The 25,626-nt window shown below is 43.4% G+C and overlaps 1 protein-coding gene across 7 annotated transcripts in view, besides 2 other annotated features; it reads left to right on the top strand.

Moving 5' to 3' along the window:
• Positions 1 to 25,626, top strand: part of ABCC4 (ATP binding cassette subfamily C member 4 (PEL blood group)) — a 281,617-nt gene that overhangs the window by 113,965 nt on the left and 142,026 nt on the right. For 6 of the 7 annotated variants that reach the window (NM_005845.5, XM_047430034.1, XM_047430035.1 and 3 more), the window contains 8 exons: positions 595 to 786; positions 9,396 to 9,490; positions 9,694 to 9,780; positions 16,859 to 16,955; positions 21,120 to 21,329; positions 22,969 to 23,109; positions 23,840 to 23,877; positions 24,271 to 24,365. In NM_005845.5, the coding sequence (NP_005836.2) occupies positions 595 to 786; positions 9,396 to 9,490; positions 9,694 to 9,780; positions 16,859 to 16,955; positions 21,120 to 21,329; positions 22,969 to 23,109; positions 23,840 to 23,877; positions 24,271 to 24,365 (955 nt within the window). The remainder of the gene's footprint in view (positions 1 to 594; positions 787 to 9,395; positions 9,491 to 9,693; positions 9,781 to 16,858; positions 16,956 to 21,119; positions 21,330 to 22,968; positions 23,110 to 23,839; positions 23,878 to 24,270; positions 24,366 to 25,626) is intronic. The other variant, NM_001301829.2, reaches the window with a different exon arrangement.
• Positions 5,866 to 5,915: an enhancer, noted in NCBI's record as "active region_7868". NCBI's record gives its function as "activates an Ori minimal core promoter by ATAC-STARR-seq in GM12878 lymphoblastoid cells {active_cell/tissue: GM12878}" and the evidence as "EXISTENCE:reporter gene assay evidence [ECO:0000049][PMID:35858748]".
• Positions 12,543 to 13,044: an enhancer, noted in NCBI's record as "NANOG hESC enhancer chr13:95826697-95827198 (GRCh37/hg19 assembly coordinates)". NCBI's record gives its function as "activates a minimal SCP1, AML or CMV promoter by ChIP-STARR-seq in naive H9 embryonic stem cells {active_cell/tissue: H9 hESC(naive)}" and the evidence as "EXISTENCE:reporter gene assay evidence [ECO:0000049][PMID:30033119]".

Here is a 25,626-nt window from a genome sequence, read left to right as displayed (position 1 = left end):
GGATTACAGGCGTGCCACCATGCCCGGCTAATGTTTGTAGTTTTAGTAGAGATGGGGTTTCACCATGTTGGCCAGGCTGGTCTCGAACTCCTGGCCTCAAGTCATCCACCCGCCTCGGCCTCCCAAAGTGCTGGGATTACAGGCGTGAGCCACTGCACCTGGCCAGGATATGTTATTTACATACAGCATTTCTAGGATTAGTTCTTTGTCAAAAAAGATACCCGCATGCAGGAACAATGCATTCAGTATTGGATATATGAACTATATATGTCATGCTTGGCTACTCTGTTGCTGTAAACATTCTTAGTTGATCTTTGTTCCGTGTACCATTTCATTTAGGGGCATGAAACTCATTTAGGGAAACTCATTAGGGCAGAGTAGATTGTTACACTCTATTTTGTTAATATTCCTTATAAACTACTAGTTTATGTGGACCATTATGTTATTTCCAATTTTTAATCACAACTTCCTGTGCTCTTTTAAATGAATGAATGGTGTTTTTCAAGCTCCCAGGGCTGGGCAAGGCTGCATTGCAGTGGCTTATTCTTGTCTCGAGTGTTGACTGAACATGTGCTTTTTTACAATCTGTTTCAGTCATCACTGTTAAGTGCCGTGCTCGGGGAATTGGCCCCAAGTCACGGGCTGGTCAGCGTGCATGGAAGAATTGCCTATGTGTCTCAGCAGCCCTGGGTGTTCTCGGGAACTCTGAGGAGTAATATTTTATTTGGGAAGAAATACGAAAAGGAACGATATGAAAAAGTCATAAAGGCTTGTGCTCTGAAAAAGGTGAGTGATGACTTTTGGATTTCATGTACTCGAATGTCCAGTAATACTAGTGTTCACTTGAACAACAAGGTTTATTAACTTTTTTTTAATTTTTAAAGACCTTTGAATGTTATTTAATACTTTAAGGCGGTCCTCCCAGTAAATAAACACACACACGCTCTGTCCTTTTACGTCTGATGCGAAAATGATGTTTACAGGGTGAATTTCGGGGGTTTGGTTGGTTTTGTGAAGTTTTATTTACTTTTAACTTTTCTTTTTTTCAAAATGGACAATTATAAAAATTTGCAAAAGTGGAGAGAAGGGTGTCTTGAACCTGCCTGTACCCATTGCTCAAGTTCAAGTGCGATCAACTTGTAGCCAATTCAACTCCGTCTCTCCCCTGGCCCTCTGCTAGCTCCACCCCCAACCCAGATTCTTCTGATGCATACCCTTGGCCTCAATTGTATTTTATCTGTAATTGTATTTTATCTGTAATACCTTATTACTTATCTCTAGAAGATAAGAACACTTTTGAAAAAAAATTACATCTCACTCAAGAAAAAAAATCACCAGAATTTCTTGCTATCATCAACCGGCTAGGCAGAGATTACAGTGCTTTAGTATCTCATTACCCATTGGTTTGCGTCAGACTCCGGAAGATGTCTGCACCGTGCACTTGGCTGATGTTTCCTGCTTGGGTCCCTCTCAAACCACAGGTTTCCTTCTCCACTCCCTTTAAAAAAGAAAATTTGTTTCAGTAGATTTTGGGGTACGGGTGGTTTTTGGTTACATGGATAAATTTACAGTGCAATTTATTATTTAAAGGAAACTGTTTTAAAATTTATTTTTCATTGTGTATCATTTCACCAAGAGAGTGATTGTTTTCAGAAAAGATGAAGTGTTTGATTGTACACTGAGGTTTTCATAAACCTGGTGGATAGTTGATGAAAACTGAGCATACTTAATAGAGGGCTATAAGTTCTAGAAGATAGAAAAAATGGTAAATACTGATAAATACTATGTTACCTTCTTTGGGCCATAAAAATCAGTGAATAATGGCATTAAAGGGCTCTCCCCAGGCCCTGTGCAGTGTGGCCTGGACATCCTACTGTTCTTTTATGCTGTCTGGAAAAGGCCGCCACAGACTGTCACAGGTGTGATGCAGAAGGCTTCCAGCCAGGTTTGTGAGGAATGAGTAATTTTGCTTGAACAATGGCTGGAATATCAGAGTCTGTCAATCAGGTGAGTAGTATTTGCTGGCGATTTGGATAGAGAAATCATTGCTTGTTTAATGGGCTGTTTCTTCATCCTGGACTATTGTTAATGAGAGATGATGCATTTTCGGAAATGACATTAAGTTAGCAGTAATGAGCTAGATTTTTATTGAATAGTATACACTATATAGGAAAAGATGCGCTAAGGCAAGCTCCTAGTTATTCAGATCCTACCAGGTCTTATTTTTTTTTCTCTGTCTCACACGCTCACACATATGCACACACAAAGCTGTGTAAAGTTTTAATCTTTTGCCATGATTTCCCAGTGCCTTTGCTATTGCTATCCTCATTTTGTTTATTTTTCTGATATTGCTAGCCTCGCTTTTTTAAAGTAAAATTTTCATTTTATTCAAAGTTTGTACAGAATTGCTAACATTTCCCTAAAATAATTACTATACTTCAGCTTGTCCTGCTCTGGTGTCCCCCCACTGTCCCCTGCTTCCCTGAAGATCCATTTTAGAGAAATTTTGCAGAAATATAGGGTCAAAGTAGGAGAATATACAAGGTGATTTCAGTGTGTTGCAGTGAGTGGAGTGTATCATGTTTTAGGGAGTTGAGAAACAGATGGCAAATTTTGCTAGTTTTCCCCCACTGGTAGTTACAGTTGATAACCAAGAAACTGCTGATGGACCAGGCCCCGGAGATAGGAAAGATGGTACGCCATTTTTCAATGGAAGGGTGGCACTTGGCAACCTGGGCCTTGTCTTTCAGCTCTTTTCTTCCATCATTTCTCTATGACAGGTTAGAAGTGAGGTCCTTGGGACCAACACAGGGCTTTCTTGGGAAGGCTTTGTTGCTCTTTACCTACTAATCTGTCAGTTTGGAGATAACCTACTAGTAAACTCTAGAATTTAAGAATGATTTGTTCAAGACTGTGGTTTCAAGAGTTGAATGTTGCTTCTGGCTGGTAAAGTGGAGGGTTGGAGAGATAAAATGACTCACTTGAACATTTGCAGTTCAAGTTCAAAGCCATACCTGCCTAGCTCCAGATTCCATTTTCCCCTCTGCCAGGCACCTCTCAGTTGGGGGTGTTTATAAGGTAGAAAACTATTTTAACAATTAGGTGATTGATAAAAAGGTAGAATGTGGGACAAAATGTTTTTCAAGCCTTCCCTTTTTACCTGTTCAGCTTCTGATACCCACATGAGACTCCAGGTCCCAGGTCACCCAGCTCTGCCTTGCTCCTTCCCACATCAGAAAGTCTCTGGGGGAAAGTGGGGGTTAGGACAGTGGCTGCCATTCAGCCTCTTCCGTAGCCACCTTTGAGGACTGGCCCAGTAACTCGGATAGTGTCCCAGGCACCTGCGGGCTTCTGCGTGGCAGGCAGACTCCAGTGGCAATGGGGTCCCCTCAGGGCTGGGCTGCATGGCGACTTCTTGGTTCCTTCCTGGATGTGTGTAAGCATGGACTGCTGGCCCCCTGTGCATGGTTCCATCCTCGGTAGGACGGTGGGCCTCCGGTGGTGGAGAAGTCGAACAGAGCAGGAGTCTGGCCCAGCTTTGTCATTTGCTCGCTGTCACTTTGGGTTTTTTTTGAGATGGAGTCTCGCTCTGTCACCCAGGCTGGAGTCTAATGGTGTAATCTCGCCTCATTGCAACCTCCGCCTCCCAGGCTCCAGTGATTCTCCTGCCTCAGCCTCCTGAGTAACTGGGGTCACAGGTGTGCGCCACCATGCCTGGCTAATTTTTTTGTACTTTTAGTAGAGATGGGGTTTTGCTGTGTTGACCAGCTGGTCTTGAACTCTTGACCTCAAGTGATCCACCTGCTTTTGCTTCCCAAAATGCTGGGATTATTTGCATGAGCCACTGCGCACGACCAGCTCGGTGTCCACTTTGGACTTGTCACATTACTTGCCTTGGGCTTTTGATGTCTCTGCTGAGAAATAAGGACATGGGATGAGATGGTTTCCAAGAAATTTTGCTACCATTCTCAAATGCCATTTATGACTGTTTAGCAGGGGACTGGAAGAAACCAGGGATCCTCTTAATGAGTTATGAGATCATTTGCCGACTCCTTTTCAAATCCACGTGTCAATGGTGGGTGTTAGATGGCCATAGAGAATAGCAATACTGGAATTATTCTGGCTTGTAGGTACAGAGATTGCATGTGTAATCAAAACCTGCTGGACAGAAATGGTCCTGAGCGTCTCTGGGTGTTTGGCCTCTGTTTCATTTCTTATTAAATGGGGGAGATACAGCAGGATTATAAAGACTGCAGGCAATGTCTGTAAAATGCAAACATGCCAGGTTTTTGGTAAATAGTAGCTGTTGCCCTTTTCTCTAAATCAGTTAATAAGATAAATAAAAGATTTTGCCTTATATAGTTCCTCATTCCCCTCCTGGCCACCCTCCCCCGCAAAAAAAAAAAAAAAAGTCCTAGAGGAAAAAATAGGAACTAACAAGATTTCTCAGATATGTTGATAGCAACTAGATATATTGTACTAGATACAGTTGAAGTAAATTTATAAGTTCATCGAGCTAAAAATATATTTGAGATAAAATAATAAGATAGGAAGTAGTAATTCACATTTAGCAGTATTGCTTTAGGCTAATTATTTATTCAAAGAGATATCGTAGCAAATGACAGGACATACCTCAGGAAACAACATACTAATGTTAGATACTTTAGTGGGTAGTAGTTAAAATCCGAGGCCTTGGGGTCAGACAGCTCTGGGATTGAGTCTCAGTTCCTCTTCAGTAGGTGTGTGATTTTAGCTAATCGTCTGAACCTTAGAAAGCCTCAGTTTTGTCATCTGTAAAATAGAGATAATAAACTATTCACCTCATAGGCTATTGTGAGGATAAGATTTGATCATGAACTTAAAGCATCTGATTACTAGGCACATAACAGGCCTTCTTAATTATAAGAGCCACCAATTTTGGGTAAAATCACATGAAATGTGACATGCTTGAAAGAATGTATCTGAGTATATAACTTCCATTATTTGAATTGATATTTATATAGGGTTTCTATACATAGTACAGTAAATAAGAGAATAATAAAAATATTGTTACCCTAATAGATGCAATGTATTAATATTATGTCACCCTTTGCATAGTTTCTTTTAATCCTTGAGCACTTTTAAGCAGTGTGTATCCAAAAAGGCATGGAATTGATAAATTGGAGTTTAATGTTTTTCTATATAGCTCACTTGACTCTACAAACCCCTTTGGTGTACCCACTATCTTATAATTTCTTCTCATATTTGCCACATTCCTGCCAACTTGGACATTTTCTTTTTAGATTGCCTTGACAATCATAAAATAACTGTTGTTATGCCTTTTTGTTGTTGTTGTTAATCTCTCAGTTGGGAGAACCATATCACTCCTTAGTGACATAATAGGAAATAAATGCTGAGGGCCCGGCGTGGTGGCTCAAACCTGTAATCCCAGTACTTTGGGTAGCTGAGGTGGGAGGATTGCTTGAGGCCAGGAGTATGAGACCAGCCTAGGCAACATAGCAAGACCCTGTCTTTTTTTTTAAAGCTGAGTACAAAAGGGATACAATGAGGTGAATCTAACTAGGGTGACTAAATGAACTGATAGTGCTGTATATGGATAGAGAGACTTCGAGTTCTGAGTTGTTTCAGTATTGCCTTTAAGTAACTTCTAGCAAGCACTTGGGGAAGCATGATATGAAAGGGCAACAGGCTGTGAACTGAGATGAGCTTGGTTCAGACTCCAGCCTTCCTTTATTAACTGAGAGTCCTCAGTCCAGTTACGTGCTCTCACTTCATCTCAGTCTCCTCATCTGTGAAGTGTGGTCACTACTTACTTGGCAGGTTGTCATGAAGGTTAGAGATAACACCAGGCATCAGGAACAGTGGTTGGTGCATAGCTCTTACATCCAGGAGCTGACCTGTGGAGCAAGAAGCTGAGTACACACATAAACATTAAGAGGCAGAATATGGCAGGTCCTTCCTAAGAAATATAAACAAAGCCTTAGGAACCTAGAAGAGAGAGTGATGTTTTCTGATTGGGGGACTGCAGGTTAGTTTCATAGAAGAGTTTGAGCTGGGCCCTGAAAGAAGAATAGGATGTTGATAAGCTATGACAGGAAGGGCCATTCCAAATGGAAGCAAGGTGTGGCCCAAAGCTGGAGAGCCCTGCTCTCTGACTCTGGGGCCTCTTCTTGTGCTGGGGCCTCAGGCCTGGCCCCTGTGACCATCCCCATAGTGTCCTCAGTGGTCTTTCTGCCTTTAGTGTCACCATGGTTGATGTGCACATGGTAGGATTCTGGTTAGATGGCGTCAAACCCACATAGCCACGTCATGGTTTTTCTCTAGTTTCTGTGTCTGCATTTCAGTAAAGGTGGTGGTAGATTAAATAATTGGTTAATTTTACTGAGTGGTACCTAACGTGCATGAGATACCTTCCTCCCATTGGGAGCACTTCTGCTTTCTGCTCAACTGTTTCCCTTTAGCCAAACTAGAAAATCATGGCTAGGAAATTAGCCTGACTCAGATTGTACTTCAGATCCTTTGAAATATTTTCCCTGTCTGAGGCGTGTCCATAAATAGTTTGCCAAGTCAACAACACTCAAGGTCGTTGTAGTACTCAAAGTGCTACTACCAGGCATGGGGAGAGAGCTCCTTCCCTATTCCCTGTCTGCATGAAATGAGACAGATATTTTTAGTGTCTTTTCTAGAAAATGGCTAAGATTGCTCTGCTACAACTTGATGCTATTTTGAGAATGAAAACAAAACAATGTAAAATCAAGGCACAGAAACTTAACACATTATATAAAGACCATCAGCAATGGAATGAGGCCAAGTAAACAATGTGTGTTTGTGTTTGTGTGGAAGGCTGGGACCCTGTCTTAAAATGGTGCATTGTCTTTTTATGAAAACTGAAAGGAAGAGATAGTGTTAACTGGTGCATTGTCTTTTTTTTTTTGAGATGGAGTTTCACTCTTGTTGCCCAGGCTGGAGTGCAATGGTGCGATCTCGCTCACTGCAACCTTTGCCTCCCAGGTTCAAGCGATTCTCCTGCCTTAGCCTCTCAAGTAGCTGGGATTACAGGCATGCACCCCCATGCCTGGCTAATTTTGTATGTTTAGTAGAGACGGAGTTTCACCATGTTGGCCAGGCTGGTCTTGAACTCCTGACCTCAGGTGATCCACCCGTGTCGGCCTCCCAAATTGCTGGGATTACAGGCGTGAGCCACCGTGCCTGGCCGCGTTGTCTTTTTATGAAAACTGAAAGGAAGAGATAGTGTAACTTCTGAGCTCAACAAAGAGATAACGTGAAATAATGAATTTTCATAATGGGGCACTTGCTACCTTTCATTTGATGCCATCTGGTTCAGATTGGAGTATTAGGGGACTCCTGTGTGTCTTAGTGGGCTGCCAGGGAGTGGGTTCCAATGGAAATACTGTTTTTTTCCATTTGGTGATGTACTTTATTTAGTGGGATTCATGCTATGAATGGGGTCCTGCTGTTGGTTTGATCAGAAAATATGTCATAGTCATCAATAGCAAATGATAATGAACTCAGATCCTTTTTTCACTTAGAGAGTTCATACCCTTACTTTAGATTGTTCCGGCATTCTATGAGTTTATTAATTCTTGTTTCTCCAGGATATTTTGTAAAAGAGATAAAATGAGAACTTAGGGAGGTCAGAGGATTTGCTTGTCATGGAGATCTCAATGTGCCATTTGCTTTGTCTCCCCGGCTTTGTCAGAGTAGAGACAAAGAAATGACACCTTGATCTGTAAGAGGGCTATCTCTGTAGTGTCCTAGGTTGATGCTTATGCAGCTCAGTCAATACCCAGCGATGTTCTCCACACCTTTTGTCTATGCTAGGATCTGTCTAGTGATAATTATAGGCCATCCAAGTAAAGATTTCTAATGTAATGTCCTGTAACTTAAACCTGATCATTATCCTGTTATTTTCAGGGATGTTCTTGTCATGTTTTTTAAAAAAAGTATTATGCTTTGTCAACTTATTTCTTAAATAATTTTTAAATATAACTTTGGTTGGATCCTCAAATAAAAACTTGTTTTCCTTCCTAGCTTTTGTTTTTTGGGGTCTTGCATGGAGCCAGAGTCTACTTAGTGCAACCAGTCTGTGCAGTGTCTCATGAGCACTCTGCTCCTTTCCCTTTGGCTTTTCCTGACTGGGCTGCTCTTTCTGCTCTTATTCTTTGCAGTTTTTTTTCTGTCAGTCTATTGTGATGCCTTAAGCATCACTGTGAAGATGGGGCGGGTGTTATCCCTTCTCTGAGAATGGAAAGCTGAGGCAAAAGTCGCAAAATGGCTTGTGAAGACACAGTTGTTCCTTAGTAAGTCCCGTGGCTTTATGCTGACAGCCCTCACGGTTGGGTCTCCAGCACAGACCTCCAGACTCACTTATCCAGCCGCAAGTCAGGATAGCCGGTCAGCATTTCAGTTTGGCCATAATCAACCTTTTGATTTTATCTCTTGAATCTGCGTCCCTCATTTCCCCCAGCTCAGTAAATGGTAACCCTGTTCTTCCCTTGTCTTACACCAAAACCAATGCAGTCCTCCTCTTTTTCTATCACAACACAAACCCATCTCATCAGCAGATCCTATAGGTGCTACCTTTAAAATTTGTTCAGCACATGACCACTGATGTTCACTTCCTTGTTCCCCACTCCGGTCCCGGCTACTGTTGTTTCTTGTCTCAATTATTGCCTTGATCAGATCATGTCCTTCCTCCTATTTCCCTGGGTGTGAGCCCTTGGCTTCTCTTGCCTCTGTCTCTGCCCTCCCCTGCCATCATCCTGTGCTCGCAGTTCCGTGTGCATCCATATTGCTCTTCTGTGAACACCTTGGGCACGTATCACCCCATGGGTTTTGTGCTTGCTCATTCCTCTATGGAGCACTCTTCCTGCACTCTGTGCCAGCCAGTCCATCCCCTGACAGGTCTCTGCTCAGACCCCCTCGATCAGAGCCCTTGTTGACCTCCCTATATAAAGTGGACTTTCCCTCTGTCACTCTGTCTCCCTAAGCCAGCTTCCTTCTCCTTCTTAGCACTTATCACCTCTTACATTTGTGTCAATCTTTTATTGTCAGGTCACTCACTGTGGAAACTCTTTCGCTGCTGAATTCACAAGGAGTTGCTGCTCAAAAAATTTCTGTTAAAATGGCTCAGTGCATAAATGCTATGAAAAGCTACAGCATTAAAATAGATAACGTGCCCTGACTGTGTATTTGATAGGTTCAAACTTACAATTTAGTTACTATGAAATATTTCCATTGCTGTTGATCAAATACATGTAAATTTCTGAAGAACTAATGTGCAAAGTTTAGGATAACTTTGGAAGAACACAAAGAACAGAGGAAGAACATGTTTTAAGTCTCTTTTTCCCCCCTTCTTTCCTTTGTCCATACAGGATTTACAGCTGTTGGAGGATGGTGATCTGACTGTGATAGGAGATCGGGGAACCACGCTGAGTGGAGGGCAGAAAGCACGGGTAAACCTTGCAAGGTAAGTTGCATTTCAGCAGCCACTATGCCGGTGTCTTTTGATACCTTCCAGTGGTGGTGAGCACATAGGACCTGCTTACTGTGTATTGCGTCCTGTGTGAAGCACCTTCTTGGGTTATTCTGTTGGCATTTGAATGAACATCCCAGTTGTTGAAAGTTGTCATGTTCCTGGGTGAGAGTCTGATACCTCTTTGTATTTTCTAGAGCAGTGTATCAAGATGCTGACATCTATCTCCTGGACGATCCTCTCAGTGCAGTAGATGCGGAAGTTAGCAGACACTTGTTCGAACTGTGAGTGTGTTTGTGTCTTAAGTCATTTCTGCTTTTCCAGAGCCATTTCGAGTTGGCTCAGGAAAGCCTTTATGGCTTTCAGCTCATCCTACTCTGGTGTCCGCTCCCCTCCCCACACTGTCCCCTGCTTCCCTGAAGATCCATTTTAGAGAAATTTTGCAGAAATACAAGGTCAAGGTAGGAAAATACACAAAGTGATTTCAGTGTGTTGCAGTGAGTGGAGTGTATCATGTTTTAGGGAGTTGAGAAACAGATGGCAAATTTTGCAAGTTTTCCCCTACTAGTAATTACAGTTGATAACCAAGAAACTGCTGATGGACCAGGCCCCGGAGATAGGAAAGATGGTACTCCATTTTTCAATGGAAGGGTGGCACTTGGCAACCTGAGCCTTGTCTTTCAGCTCTTTTCCTCCATCATTTCTCTATGACAGGTTAGAAGTGACGTCCTTGGGACCAACATAGGGCTTTCTTGGGAAGGCTTTGTTGCTCTTTACATACTAATCTGTCAGTTTGGAGATAACCTACTAGTAAAATCTAGAATTTAAGAATGATTTGCTCCATAGTAGACTGTGGTTTCAAGAATCTAATGTTGCTTCATGGATTCTTACCAGAGTGAACACTTAAAACCCACAGGCATGTAGGCCTGGCTTGCCTTTGAAACTAGTTGTCTAGAATCTGGCTTCCCTCCCAACTCTTACGTGGTGTTTCTGGGATTTTCTTTCTTTGGCTCTTGCTTAGACACTGAGCCATGGAGGTAGAACTACTCTGGAATCTTTTCTGTATATTCTATAAACTCATGTGTGCCGACTGACACTTCCTACATAGTCTAGACTGGCCTTTTTGAAAGCATTGTGAACTGGTTTTGCCAAAACAGCACTCACATCTGCCCCACAGTCAGCTTCCTGTTTTTCGCCTTGTTAAAGTCAGTGAGCCTTTCCCACTCATTGTAACCCTTCTGCGCACACTGAGGTAGATGCTCCTGCAGATGCTACTGCATGAAACATCTTCGCTTGCAGAGGAGGGCAGTCAGCCACAGAGAAGATAAGCACCCATGCTGGGCTGAGTGAGAGAGAGACAAGTTCAGATTTCATTCTTGCCCATAAGGAATTTGTCTCTGCATGGATCAAGACTAAGTGCATGGGAAAAGTTCAACAGACCCCAAGGCTTAGGGGATTTCAATATAGGACAATCTATTTTATTATTATTTTTTTTTTAGATAGGATCTCGCTCTGTTGCCCAGGCTGGAGTGCAGTGGTGCATTCTCAGCTCACTGCAGCCTCGACCTCCTGGGTTCAAGAGATTCTCCTGCCTCAGCCTCCCGGGTAGCTGTGACTACAGGCTAGCACCACCATGCCCAGCTCATTCAGTGTTTTTTTGAAGAGAGGGGGCTTTGCCATGTTGTCTAGGCTGGTCTCCCTATGTTGCCCAGGCTGGTCTCGAACTCCTGGGCTCAAGGGATCCACCCCCCCCCCCCCCCCCCCCCTGCCCTCGGCTTCCTGGAGTGCTGAGATTACAGGTGTGAGCCCCTACACCTGGCATACGACAATCTTTTTTTTTAAATGGAAGAAGTGGGCAGCAGAGATTGGAAAGGTCACTGAGGGCCGGGCTTGGCTGGAAGTAGCCTGTGGTCCTGCAGGCTGGTAAGGGTTTGTGGTGGCTGAGAGTAGGATTCAATTCCTTTGAAAGAAATAGTAGAAGCAGAGGTGTGCAGACGGGAAGGAGTGAGGCCTGTGGGAAGGACAGCAGGCAGGCACCTGTTCCTGTGGTGGGGGATAGAGAAGGTACCGTGAGAGAAAGCTCTGGAAGTCCTGTGTTGGCCAGCCAGGGCTGCCCTCACAAAATGCCACAGGCTGGGGGGCTTCCACAGCGGCAGGTTGTTTCTGCAGAGTTCTGGAGACTGCATGTGTGAGATCAATGCATCTGCAGGTGCAGCTCCTCCCGAGGGCTTTCTTGGCCTGCTGATGGCTGCCTTCTCACCCTTTTCTCCTTGTGTCTCTGTATCCAAATCTCCTCTTCCTGAAAAGACACCAGTCAGATTAGAGTAGGGCCCACCCTCATGGCCTCATTTTAGTGTAATTACTTCTCTAAAGGTTCTGTGTTGGCCGGGCACTGTGGCCCATGCCTGTAATCCCAGCACTTTGGGAAGCCGAGGCAGGCAGATCACCTGAGGAGTTCGAGACCAGCCTGGCCAACGTTGTGAAACCCCATCTCTACTAAAAATACAAAAATCAGTGGTGGATGGTGGCGGGTGCCTGTAATCCCAGCTACTCTGGAGGCTGAGGCAGGAGAATTGCTTGAACCCAGGAGGTGGAGGTTGCAGTGAGCCGAGATAGCGCCATTGCACTCCAGCCTGGATGACGAGTGAGATTCTGTCTCAAAAATAATAATAATAAAAAAAAAATTTTAAAAAAGGTTCTCTGTTCAATTTCTAAGGTGCTAGGGTGAGGGCTGGAACATAGGAACTTTGAGGGGAGCATGGTTCAGTCCATAACAAGTCCTGGATAGCAAAGTGGATAGCGAGTCGGCTGTGTGAGAGTAACTCATCTCTGGGCTCTGGATTCCAGGGGTTTGGACATGAAGTCATCCACTGAGCATGGGGCTCTACGTGGGTTCCTGAACGTTTACCCACCAGAGTGCGTATGCAAAATGTGCCTGGTATGGGATGATGAAGTGGATGTGTATGATGGTGATGGTTGCACAATGGTGTGTATGTACTTAGCGCGACCAAGCTATACAATTAAAAATGGTGTAAATGGTAAATGTTATGTCTTGTCTATTTTTCCACAACCAAAAAAAACGTGGATGGCAGCATTGAATCTTTCTGAATGCAGAGTGCAGGATAAGCTGGCACTTGGCATTGCCGCAGCAGTCTGATCAGAGCCTCGTTTCCTGCTCCCTCCTCATTGTGCCTTGATGAATTTTCCATTTCGCCGAGAAGGGCCTCTGTGGCTTGCTTGAGTCTTGCGCGAGGCCCCACCAGTTCTTTATCACTCAAACAACAATTCCCGGTGGGACGCTGTTTAGAGTCGCCGCGGGGAAGGAGGAAGGTATTTTCATTGCTGAGTATCAGTGTGCGTATCGCACAAGCTCCCTCAGATTTTCATTTGAACACAGGAGGTATTTATAAAGTCCTCTTGCACCTTTAAGGATTAATGACTTTGGATATATGCTTGTTAGAAGCAAGCTTGTTAAAATTGTTGTTTGCTAATCAGAATCACATTCTTTGGGGAAACTTAGGGCAGGGAGCACGAATGCAATTTAGGAAATCACTCAGCAGCAACTGGAGAATGTTCTCAACGAGTTAGAAAATTGGATTGAACAATATGCTATGAAAGATGGCGGTTGTGTTGAAGCTTAGAAATGTGAAGTGTTTTGTATTAAAAGTGAATGAATTACGCTTCTATTTGCCATTAACAGTTTTACTTCAATCATGAATATATATCGAGAGTTGTTAAGAGTTGTGTTTTACAACTATATGTTGCAAACACTAAGTGGATTTTATCACATACAAAAAGTGAGGGTCACTTAGATTAAAGGATGCTAATCCAATTTGTTGCCTGCTATAGATGTGGTTGTGTTCTAGAAAGCCTCAAATTCTCAGACCCCTGCCTCTTTGAGTCTCCTAATCAGATCTCCCACACTGTTGCCTACCTATTTGTCTTAGTCCATTCAGGCTGCTGATTCAAAATAGCATAAACTAGGTACTCCATATAAACAATAGAAAATTGTTTCTACAGTTCTGGAGGACAAGATTCAAGATCAAGGCGCCAGCAGTTTTGGTGCCTGGAGAGGGCTCACGCTCTGGTTCATAGACAGCTGTCTTGTCACTGTGGAAGGGGTACGGCAGCTTCCCTGGGCTGGCCCCTTCTACTAATACCATTTGTGTTGGCAGATTCTCATGAAATAGGCCTCACCTCCTAATACCATTACATTGGTGATTAGGGTTCAGTAGGAATTTGGGGAGGGCCACAAACATTCAGGCACAGCACTAGTTCACCTTCCCTCTTTCAGGTCCTCTAGGACTCCCCTACTTTTAAGCTACAGTTCTAAGTCCTCGAATGGCAAATTGCCCTTTGCAGTCTGCCCCATTCACCTTTCCAACCCTTGCCATGCAAGACCAGTCCTCCAGCCATGCACACTTCTTTGGGGTGCCTGGAAGGAGGTGTGAATTTCTCACGTCTGCCTGTCTGTAAGGGTATTTTTCCTGCCGTTGGACAACCAGGGATAGTTTGCCTGGGCAAAAGAGAAAAATGAAAGACACAGATCCTACCTCCTGCCTTTCTCTTCTGCTCCTCGGAGGGCATGGCGCTTTCTCTGTCTTCCCACAGCCCTCAATGAGCTGCTCTTGATCCACCTATGTGTTCTTCCCTCCAGCCCCCGCACTAGACTGCGAATGCATGAAGGTGCCTTTGCACAGCGCATTTGTGCCCCGGGACCATTGCACCTGCTGTATCTGCCAGGAATGCTTCCCCCAGATAGTCTCATGGCTCATACATCACCTCCTTGCAGAGAGGACTTTCCTGGCCACTCCCTCTAAAGTACAACCTTTGCCTGGCTGTCTCTTCATGGTTTACTTTACTATCCAATAGTGTGTTTTCTGTGTTTGTGTAGTGAGTGTCCCTACACGACTCAGGGTGTTGTCTGTTTGCTTGACCAGTGGATGTATCCTCATCACTTAGAGTAGTCCCTGGTACTTCGTCAGTGCTCAGCAAATGTATCTTAACTGAATGAATGAAGGTAGTGACTGTATCTGTCCCTCTCTCCCTCCCTCCATCCCTTCCTTCCTTTTTTGACAGAGTTTTGCCCTGTCACCCAGGCTGAAGTGCAATGGCATGATCACGGCCCACTGCAACTTCTACCTCCTGGGCTCAAGTGATCCTCCCGAGTAGCTGGGACTACAAGTGCACACCACCACTCCTGGCTAAGTTTCGTGTTTTTTTGTAGAGATGGGATCTCTCCATGTTGCCCAGACTGGCCTTTAACTCCTGGGTTCAAAAGATCCTCCTGCCTTAACCTCCCAAAGTGCTGGGATTATAGGTGTGAGCCACTGCACCAACTGACTATATCTTTCTCACTTGTGTCACCTCCAACATTGTATGTGTCAGCTCTTAATGTTGTCTTTTTTTTTTTTTTTTCCTTTTTGAGGCAGAGTCTCGCTCTGTTGCCCAGGCTGGAGTGCAGTGGCATGATCTTGGATCACTGCAGGCCTCCTGGGTTCCAGCAATTCTTGTGCCTCAGCCAGCCGAGTAGCTGGGATTACAGGCATGGGTGACCACATCCAGCTAATTTTTGTATTTTTAGTGGAGATGGGATTTCACCGTGTTGCTTGAACTCCCGACCTCAAGTGATCTGTCTGCCTCAGCCTTCCAAAGTGCTGGAATTATAGGCGTGAGCCCCCGTGGCTGGCCTCTTAATGTAGTCTTTATGTAGGATTAGAGTTAAATAGCTCATTGCTACATCAATCACTTATTATTTGTTTGTTTTATGGCATGACTGGAAGATTTTTACTCTTAATAATTTGGAAAGTATTTTTTGAGATTTGCCTAAGAAGCATAATTTAGAAAAAATTTCAAGCCATCAATTACAATGTTAGTGTAATTATTTCTATTATCTCATCTACAATGGAAGATGTTAGGAAGAAAACATTTTGAAACCTTTGAGTTGGCTGATACTGGACATAGCACCCATCAGATTTGATCATTAACATCTCCCTTTAGATATGTATATAAAAGGACTAATGGCAGCCAATCTTGATATAAAGGGAAACAGTTTCATTAAAAGCTTTAGTACTAAACCTGAAGAGGGGTATAAGTACTAAACCTGAAGAGGTATACTAGATTGAACAACTTAGTTTTGAAATAAGCCAAACTAAGATATGTGAAAGGGGAAAAAATAATCCTTTTGGACGTAAAGGATGAAGTGATAGTTTACATATCTGCAGTCTGGAGTTGTGGTTCTGATCACAGGCACTGTCTCTAAAATACTTGCTTATGACTTCTCAGTCCTGAATTTCTAAAAGCAGTGGCTGCATATGAGGAAGACTGGAGGACAGGGCTAACACTTATTGAGCATGAGTTATGTTCTTGGCCCTTGTTACAGATTAATGCTTTTCTTTTCTTTTTCTTTTTTTTTTTTCTCCTTTTTTTCTTTTTGAGACAGGGTCTTACTCTGTCAACCAGGCTGGAGTGCAGTGGTGTGATGACGGCTCACTGTAGCCTCACCTCCTGGGCTCAAGTGATTCTCCCACCTTAGCCTCCCTTCTAGCTGGGACTACAGGTGTGTGCCACCACACCCGGCTAATTTTTTTTTTTTGTAGCTCCCAGGAGTCTACGTTTACAATGTAGGAGAACTTTGAGTGGGTACCGTAGAAAACAAACAAACGTCAGAAAACTTGATGGTTGAATACTGAGGTGGGTCTTATCTTTGAGCCATATGGTTTGGACTGTTTGGATTCTGTTTTTCCATTTTCTTATTCAGACTGTTTAGGACTAATGAGAGAAGTTTTGCTTCCTGGATGAGACCAAGAATACTGTGGAGAGTCACATGTCACTAGCATTTGTTTTCGTATCTAGTATTATTTTTGAAGAAGAGTCTGGAAAATGCACTCTGGCAAAGGTTACCAAGAATCTAAGCCTTTTTGCGGGGGGTGGAGGGGGGGCGTTGATATGTGCATTATAAATTATCATCTAAGAAACCGTCCAAGAAAAATGCCGCGTCGTTACGTGACCTCGATCTTTCTTTCTCCCCTGCAATCCTACACGGCAATAAAATAATTAGTGTTTTAGTTAAGTCAAATTTTTGAATGTCTATGTTAAACTAAGTTTTAGGAAAAAAAATTACACTTATTGCCTCCTTCCCAGAAAACTTTTGAGGATTTCACCACAGCAAGGCTCGTATTTGCTGCTAGTGGTTTTGAGGACCTAGCCGGCTTTATTGGCTTATATTTGTATTTAGTTTGTATTTAACCTCTAGATCTTTGACTACTGTGTTGTCTTTGACTACGGTTTCAAAATGTATGTTTTTCAATGTGGAGCACCCCATTCATGCATTTTTTCACCCTGTGCCTTTTACATTTATAGGTGTATTTGTCAAATTTTGCATGAGAAGATCACAATTTTAGTGACTCATCAGTTGCAGTACCTCAAAGCTGCAAGTCAGATTCTGATATTGAAAGATGTAAGTAGTTTCTAGAGGTCTCCCGAACTTGCAAGTACTTGGGTGTGTTGAATCCCCTTCTTCTTCCTCCATTTCATGTTCCTTTCTTCTCAGAGCTGGGATTCATGTTTTTAAGTATTAACTCAAAAGACTTGTAGAAATGTCATTATTACATGCTAAACCATATTACCGTAAAGTATGTAAAATTGCTACCTCAAGGTTACTACATTGTTAAAGAAAATGATGCTGTTTTAATTTAGAACTTTTTGTTTACCTCTTCCATGACTTAATTCAAATTGTATTATTTGGAAATTACAGACTCTAAGACCTGTTTGTATCCCTTTAATTGTCATGCATAGTTTGGCTAAAGATCCTCTTCTATTAATAGCAGAAATGGCTGGGCACAGTGACTCAGGCCTGTAATCCCAGCACTTTGGGAGGCCGAGGCAGGCAGATCACCTGACGTCAGGAGTTCAAGACCAGCCTGTCTAACACGGTGAAACCCCGTCTCTACTAAAAATACAAAAAATTAGCCCAGCATGATGGTGCACACTTGTAGTCCCAGCTACTCAGGAGGCTGAGGCAGGGGAATCACTTGAACCCGGGAGGCGGAGGTTGTAGTGAGCCGAGATCATGCCGTTGCACTCCAGCCTGGGCTACAGAGTGAGACTCTGTCTCAAAAAAATAAAAATTAAAAAATAATAATAATAGCAGCAACACAGTTGGATAACTGAGCAACCCCTAGTCACAGCACCCACTTTCCTGGAATAGCCAGCAGTTAGTGTCACTGCACAGGAATTTTTGAGTGCCTGATATGTGTGAGAGCTGGTATAGCTATAAGTAAGACAAAGTCCTTGCCATCGTCGGGCTGACATTCTTCCTGGAGATAGATGCAAGGAAGGAAATGGAGGGGTGGGGTTGCCTCGCTGGGACTTGAGGTACAGTGACGTGAAGGTGCTGACCATGCGGTCACCTGGGGAGGGCATCTGAGGCAGGGGACTGGCAGTGGGGTCCTAAAGCTGGAAGTTACCTGGTGCATTTACAGGAACATCAGGGAGGAGCAGAGCAAGCCAGGGAGAGCCTGGAGAAAGGTGGGCTCAGAGCAGTTGTCAGAGGCCCTGGAACTAGGACAGAGGCTACTGGACAGTCCAGAGCAGTGGAGTGACATGGTTTGATCTGTGATTTTAAGAGATCCTCTTTGTTGTTGGCTGGAGGAGCTACAGCAGAAGTAATTTGAAGTCTTAGTGGTTCACAAGACAGAAATAAGGGGTTGGTCTAGTGTGTCAGTTTCCTAGGGCTGCCAGAACAAAGTGCCACACATTAGGCAGCTTACAACAACAGAAATGTATTGTCTCACTGTTCTGAGGCTGCAAGTCCAAAATCAAGGTGTCCGCAGGGCCGCGCTCTCTGAAGGCTTCAGGGGAGAATCCTTCCTCGCCTCTCCCACTTTCTGGGGTTTTGCTGGCACTCACTGTTGATCCTTGGCTGGCAGTGCAGCCCTTCAGTCTCTGCCTCTGTTGTCACATGGCATTGTCGCTGTGTCTCTCTGGCTTTCTTCCTATAAGGACATCAGTCACTGGACCTAGGGCCCACCCTACTCCAGTATGACCTCATCTTGTCTTGATTGTATCTGCAAAAATCCAGTTTTGAAAAAAAAGGCCACATTCACAGGTAACAGGATTTAGGACTCGAACATATCTTTTTAGGGGGTCATGGTCACCATTCAACCTATAAGAGCTAGCGTGGCCGGGGACATGGAGGTTAGTGAGAACTTCTCAGCCCAGCGGTGGTTTCATGCAGCACTCCTTGGCTTGTTGCCTCTTGCCTCAGTACCCTGGTCCTTAACCCTTCTCTGTTCCAGGCCCTGGTCAAATTCCTGATTGTGGGTCTGAAACCCGCTTAGTGTCTTCAAATGTTTTAATGTTTCTCCTCCTGCAATTTCTTAATAAAACGATGGAAATAACAAAAACGAGTGTTAATTATATTTTATAAGATCTGTGTGCACCGTTCTCCAAGGGAGATAAATTTCACATTATTGCAACAAACGGGGTATATAATGATAGCAAAGCTCTTGCAAGTCTTGTGTGTAAGCCCCTCCTTGCTGCCTAAAGAACAGTGAGGAATCTGTCCACTGAAGTCCCGGCAAGTGAATTCTCACCCTTAAGAGGATTATCGAAGGCAGAACTGCTGCCTCTTCAGAAGTGGTTCCGTGTGCTGGCTCTTCCCCACTCCCCCAGGAATAGGGAGCCTGGGTTCCTCAAACTTGAAAACAAGTAATTTCTTATGCAGAGGGCTGAGACTAGTGTGGCAAAACCTGAATGCTGGTACATTAGAGTAAAGTCTGTGGGTGGTAGAATAATCTTTCTCCAAAACAACCATTTGGCGAGGCGCGGTGGCTCATGCCTGTAATCCCAGCAATTTGGGAGGTCAGGGTGTCGGGGGGAATCACTTGAGGTCAGGAGTTTGAGACCAACCTGGCCAACATGGTGAAAACCCATCTCTACCGAAAATACAAAAAAATTGGCTGGGCCTGGTGGCGCTGCCTGTGATCCCAGCTACTCAGGAGCCTGAGGCAGGAGAATCACTTGAACCTGGGAGGCGAAGGTTGCAGTGAGCCGAGATCGCGCCATTGCACTCCAGCCTGGGCAACAGACTGAGACCCTACCACACACACACAAACCATTTTTCCACTGGTGGGCACCCAGGATGAATGTGTGTCCATTCTTGCTTCTTGCTGTCGACCCAGCCCCTTCCCTAACAGCAGACAGAGCACGGTTCCCCCTCGGAACCCACTCTGCATTGCTCCTCAGTACTCGGCTTCTGAGGAAAATTGCCATCTCAGTACCAGTAGGAGTTTCCTTGTGTGTCTTACAGATACTATGTGAAAAGTGGTCATTTTATCAAACTAGGTGTGTCACTTTTACCTCCTGTGTGGAAGAAGACACAATGTATCATGAAGCATTTTTGAATTCTCCAGTTATCAAACTGGTCCAAAGGGCCCAAGGTGTCGTTGGATTTTCCTCAGTGGACCCACCTTTTGGGGGTGGGGAGGATTGGGGTAGCAGGGAGGGTCCTGGCCACCTTCCCCCACCTGACTTGCCTTAGCCAGGAGCTGCTCTCCTTTGATTTGTTTTGTATTCTGGGAGTTTGCCTAATATTTTGTTTGCTGCTGTTTGAGGAAATCAGTTGGGTCTCATTTCATGGGGTACACAAATAGTAAAGATATTTGTACATTATTTTCTATGACTTTGTAAGGAGAGAAAACTGTGCAAGGTTGTGTCCCATGGAATGTCGAATTTTCAGTTAGGAACTCCCTGAGTCTTTGGGGCAATTATTTATTTATTTATTTATTTATTTATTTATTTATTTATTTATGAGATGGAGTTTCGCTCTTGTCATCCAGGCTGGAGTGCAGTGGCTTGATCTCTGCTCACTGCAACCTCCGCCTTCTGGGTTCAAGTGATTCTCCTGCCTCAGCCTCCCGAGTAGCTAGGATTACAGATGCCCGGCTAATTTTTTTGTATTTTTAGTAGAGGTGGGGTTTCATCATGTTGGCCAGGCTAGTCTCGAACTCCTGACCTCAGGTGATCCACCTGCCTTGGTCTTCCAAAGTGCTGGGATTTCAGGTGTGAGCCACTGCACCTGGCCTGTGGGGCAATTTTAGAGTAAAGACCGTGAAGGTGCAGTTCATGGGGTCTATGTCCAAGTCTGGTTCCCACACGCCTTTTTCCAGCAGGGCCCATGGCCAGTGGAGGCTTGTGGAGTGCTTCCTACCTGTGCAGATATGCCTGTTCCTACCTCCCTATCAGTGTTAGGTTTCTTTCCTGGAATATCCTCCTCAATTTACTCATTCCTTCAATTCTTATTGCATAAGGTTTATCACAGTTTTCATGTTCTGTAATAAGACTACCAATACGGTCACCAACATCTGTGTGATAATAATCGCCATTTGTAACACACTATTACCATTTTAAAAATATTCTTCAGGACCTAACACAGAGTCTGGCTGAGAACAGAACACTCAGTTGTGTATCAAGTTGAATTGTATTAGATTTGTCAACTAGGATTCCGGACCTAAGTATAATCATAACTTAAGATCAGTTACTTTTTCTGGATTAGAATTAGATTAGGTTAACATTATCACCTGCACATGTATCTCTCTGAAATTCTTTATTTTTATTTTAGGGTAAAATGGTGCAGAAGGGGACTTACACTGAGTTCCTAAAATCTGGTATAGATTTTGGCTCCCTTTTAAAGAAGGATAATGAGGAAAGTGAACAACCTCCAGTTCCAGGAACTCCCACACTAAGGAATCGTACCTTCTCAGAGTCTTCGGTTTGGTCTCAACAATCTTCTAGACCCTCCTTGAAAGATGGTGCTCTGGAGAGCCAAGATGTGAGTTCACCTCCTGTTACAACATGGCCTGGTTTTGTTCACTGTTAATGGCCTTATGGATCTTTGGTCTACTCTGTTCAAAGCTTCATCTTTTGTCCCAAAGTGGATTCTGTGGTTTCAGGGCTCTATTCCATGATATTGGTAGATTAAAACGGAACCAAGGCAAACCACCCTGGTTGGAGTTATCCTTTGTATGTAGGCTGGGGAATGTCAAGGAGGTGAGTAGCGGGTGTGTATGCTGGTGCAAGTCCTAAGCTGTGTGTGACTCACACTAATACTACAATTCTTGAATTTACTGTAGTGAAATCCTACTTAGTCTGGTGGCCCCCGACTTCTCTTTGCATCTGGAGGCATAATTTGAAGACCCCCTTAGAGAAAGTCCTGCTGTGGGCCACATGAAATTAGCCACTTTTCCTGTATGTTGGAATGTTCTGATGCTGCAGGTGGCTGATGGAGGTATTTTGCCCTGTTGTCAGATGGTTTATGTTAGTTAGGCCAGAAGTAGCATGTGCAAAGACCCAACAGTTCCTGACACACAGCAGCCCAACTTCCTTCTTTACCTTTCAAGAATAGGAGCTGCATCTTACTCACCTTGGTGTTCCCAGTGGCCAGCATAGAGCTGCTCAATACATCTTCAGAGTATGTGAATCTCATGCCTTCTAAGTCCTCCGGGCAGAAATGTACCAGAGCTCACTTAAAAGCATAGATATTCCTTGCCACACAAACCCTGACTATCCAAATCCAGGAGACTGAAGGATTCTTGCAGATATTCAGATTAGGCCCTCACATGCCAAATTATCAGGAGTCAATTTCTGAAACTCAGGAACCAAATAGATTAGGATCATATGCTATCCCTTCCTTTCCAAACTCTGGTTACTGAGACTCACTGCTTGACCCCAGTTACTGTGTTGAGCTCATGTTTTGACCCCCTGCTCTTTTATGTTTCCATCTTGAGTGATGCAGTTGAGAGTTCCATATCTTTTTGTATATGATTTTGGAACAAGTTTCTGTATTGACACTTGAATTTGGGTGTGCTAGGTAAGTGCTGAACATCCTGATGGCATCCTTCCAGCAAGCCACGCCACAATGTCCAAATGATATTTCCTTATCTCTAGTAGAACCTTGAAAGTGGGATGGCTGGGTCCAAGGATTAGTGCATATAGCTGGGTGTGGTGGCTCATGCCTGCAATCCCAGCGCTTTGGAAGTCCGAGGTGAGAGGATCACCTGAGGTCAGGAGTTCCAGATCAGCCTGGCCAACATGGTGAAAACCTGTCTTCACTAAAAAATACAAAAAATTAGCCAGGCGTGGTAGCAGGCATCTGTAATCCCTGCTACTCAGGAGGCTGAGGCAGGATAATTGCTTGAACCTAGGAGGCAGAGGTTGCAGTGAGCCAAGATCGCGCCACTACACTCCAGCCTGGGAAACATGAGCAAAATTCTGAGTCAAAAAAAAATTAAATAAATAAAAAATAAGTGGATGTATAGTTTGGCTAGCTATTTCCACACCCTTCTCCACAGGAGATGGATCATTTTGGACTTCTGCCTGTTTCCCCACAGCTTTGTCAACAGAGTGCATTGTCATCTTTGGGAACAGTTTTGTATACTGTTTTGTCTCTTACCACCTTTTTTCCTCTGCAGACAGAGAATGTCCCAGTTACACTATCAGAGGAGAACCGTTCTGAAGGAAAAGTTGGTTTTCAGGCCTATAAGAATTACTTCAGAGCTGGTGCTCACTGGATTGTCTTCATTTTCCTTATTCTCCTAAACACTGCAGCTCAGGTAAATAATGACATTTGTTTTGCGCCCTCAAAATGATATTTACAGTACCTATGTTTATGCTATTATGACTGCATCTTGCAGTTCACTTGGGGTCTGAATTGAAATGTGCTGTCTTTGGGGAACAAAGTGAGGGCTGCCTACTGGTGTTCCATGTCCGTTACAAAGACCTGCGAAAAAAGGGTATCTTTCAATGATTTTAAAATGGAATATGCATTTTCTTGAACCCTTGATATCTGGGAGTTTGGGCTTGGCACAGACCTGAGCTGGAAGAACTATGCGAGTTCTCTGAGCCTTTTATTCTTTCTTTCTTTCTTTCTTTCTTTTTTTTTTTTTTTTTGAGATGGAGTTTTGCTCTGTTGCCCAGGTTGGAGTGCAGTGGCGCGATCTTGGCTCACTTCAACCTCTGCCTCTGGGGTTTAAGCAATTCTCCTGTCTCAGCCTCCGGAGTAGCTGGGACTACAGGCACATGTGCCACCATGCCCAGCTAGGCTAATTTTTGTATTTTTAGTAGAGATAGGGTTTCACTATGTTGGCCAGGCTGGTCTCGAACTCCTGGCCTTAAGTTGATCCGCCTGCCTCAGCCTCCCAAAGTGCTGGGGTTTACAAGCATGAGCCACCACGCCCGGCTTTGAGGGCTTTCTTTCGGTTGTCCATGTTAGCGATTGAGAGTTTTGAGTTGGTAAGTCATGCCCAAGTTTGATTTTTGTCTTTGTTGTTTCTCCCCTCCTAGGTTGCCTATGTGCTTCAAGATTGGTGGCTTTCATACTGGTAAGTTATTTCTGGTCTGATGTATGAAATACTCCAAAATCAGTAAGAAGACTCGCTTTTCCATAGAGTTAGAGGGAGGTGTTTGTTGATCCTTCTCTTCTAATCCTCACTTCGTTTACCCGAAGAAAAATTAGAGTGCTTGCTGGTGGAGTGTAAACTGCGGTGGTCTCCACCCATGTCTGATCCGCGGCATCATGTTCACAGACAGTTTCGGGAACTGAAAGTTGTGATTTAAATTGAATTTTTATAAGGTAGATATACACAAGACTAAGTGAGCTGAGAATCATTTTCCAGCATGAAGCGTTTCTCCCAAATTGTGGTTCATTTTTAAAAAAATGTATTTATCTAAATTTCATATATAGCTTAATATTTTTTTCTCCCCATGTTCCATAGGGCAAACAAACAAAGTATGCTAAATGTCACTGTAAATGGAGGAGGAAATGTAACCGAGAAGCTAGATCTTAACTGGTACTTAGGAATTTATTCAGGTAAAGTTTAATCATTTGGTGTATTGTATGAGAGGCTGAGGTGCTTACAATGAGCCTGTGTGAGTAACTAGGGCTTCCAGGAGTCATTCAGTAATGTCTTAACAGATCAGGAGTCTCAGTCGAATTTACTCTGTGAATTAATTAGAATAATTATTTTAAAAATCTACTAGAAGAGAGGTTGACTGAAGACTCTTAATTTGCTCTGTACTGGATTTTGAAAGTTAAACCAGGATTGAGCATTCAGAAAATCAGCCACTGGAAATATGTGGCTATTGTCTATTCTAATAGGTTGCTTTAGCTAAATCTTATATCATTATACGGATGGGCAGGGGGATTAGAAACGGATCTCCACCCTGTGGTTCGGATGGTTCCAATTCTGTCTAAATAAACCCTGGCTTTTATTGAACTTGGATGAAATCCTCTGGCAGCAAGGCCCCCAAAATAAAAGCATTATTCCCTCCCAGGTATGCAAAGCTCCCTTCAGCACTGCTCATCTCCTGGGCTTCACTAATTACTTAAGAGGGAAGCTGAGCAGGGAAAAATCCAGTGTCTGGGAATTAGGATGCCTTCTATTTCTTACCTTGAGATCACAATGTTATCGCGTCCCCAACTGTGTGATTAATTTAACATTTGGCTTGCCAGACTAATATTAACGCCACACTCTGTTTTCACAAGAGTGCTTAGAATGTATGTAGCATTACATACTGTTTAAAGAAAATCTTCATCTAAAATTTTAAATATTTCCACAGGAAATGCTCCTACAAGCTTTCCTCAGAGATAGAGTGAGTTATCTTTGTAAGAACCTACTCAGTGAAATTTGGTGTTTATTTCATCGATCGCTTGCTAAGAAATCTAAATCTGTTAGGTGTTTACCTTCCAACTGATGGACTATGTGGAAACTAAAGGAAGAAGGAAATCTATTATGTTCTATTATGTTCGTGTAGGATGGCAGGCTAAGGATAATGCCCGTTGATGGAGTTAGGAATTTGAGCTGCTTTCAGAGGTTAAATAACAGTGACATGTCATCTGAAAGGGAAATATTTGTTATAGAAGTTACCCCCACTGTATTTAGCATTGTGAATGAAGAGATGTTAGGAAAGCTCTTTTAATTTCTATGTGAATAATGGATCCTCATTCATGTCTTAATAAAATGTATGATTTATTTTATTCATTTAAAAATGTCTTGTGTCTATGTAAAACAGTGGGGGATTAGTTGCTTATTTAGATTAATTATCTTATGTTAAAATATAATTTGTGTTTT

Source organism: Homo sapiens, chromosome 13 (genome assembly GCF_000001405.40).
Source record: "Homo sapiens chromosome 13, GRCh38.p14 Primary Assembly".
Lineage (NCBI taxonomy): Eukaryota > Metazoa > Chordata > Mammalia > Primates > Hominidae > Homo > Homo sapiens.
Note: the sequence above shows the minus strand (reverse complement) of the source record. Positions and strands in the feature narration are given on the sequence as shown.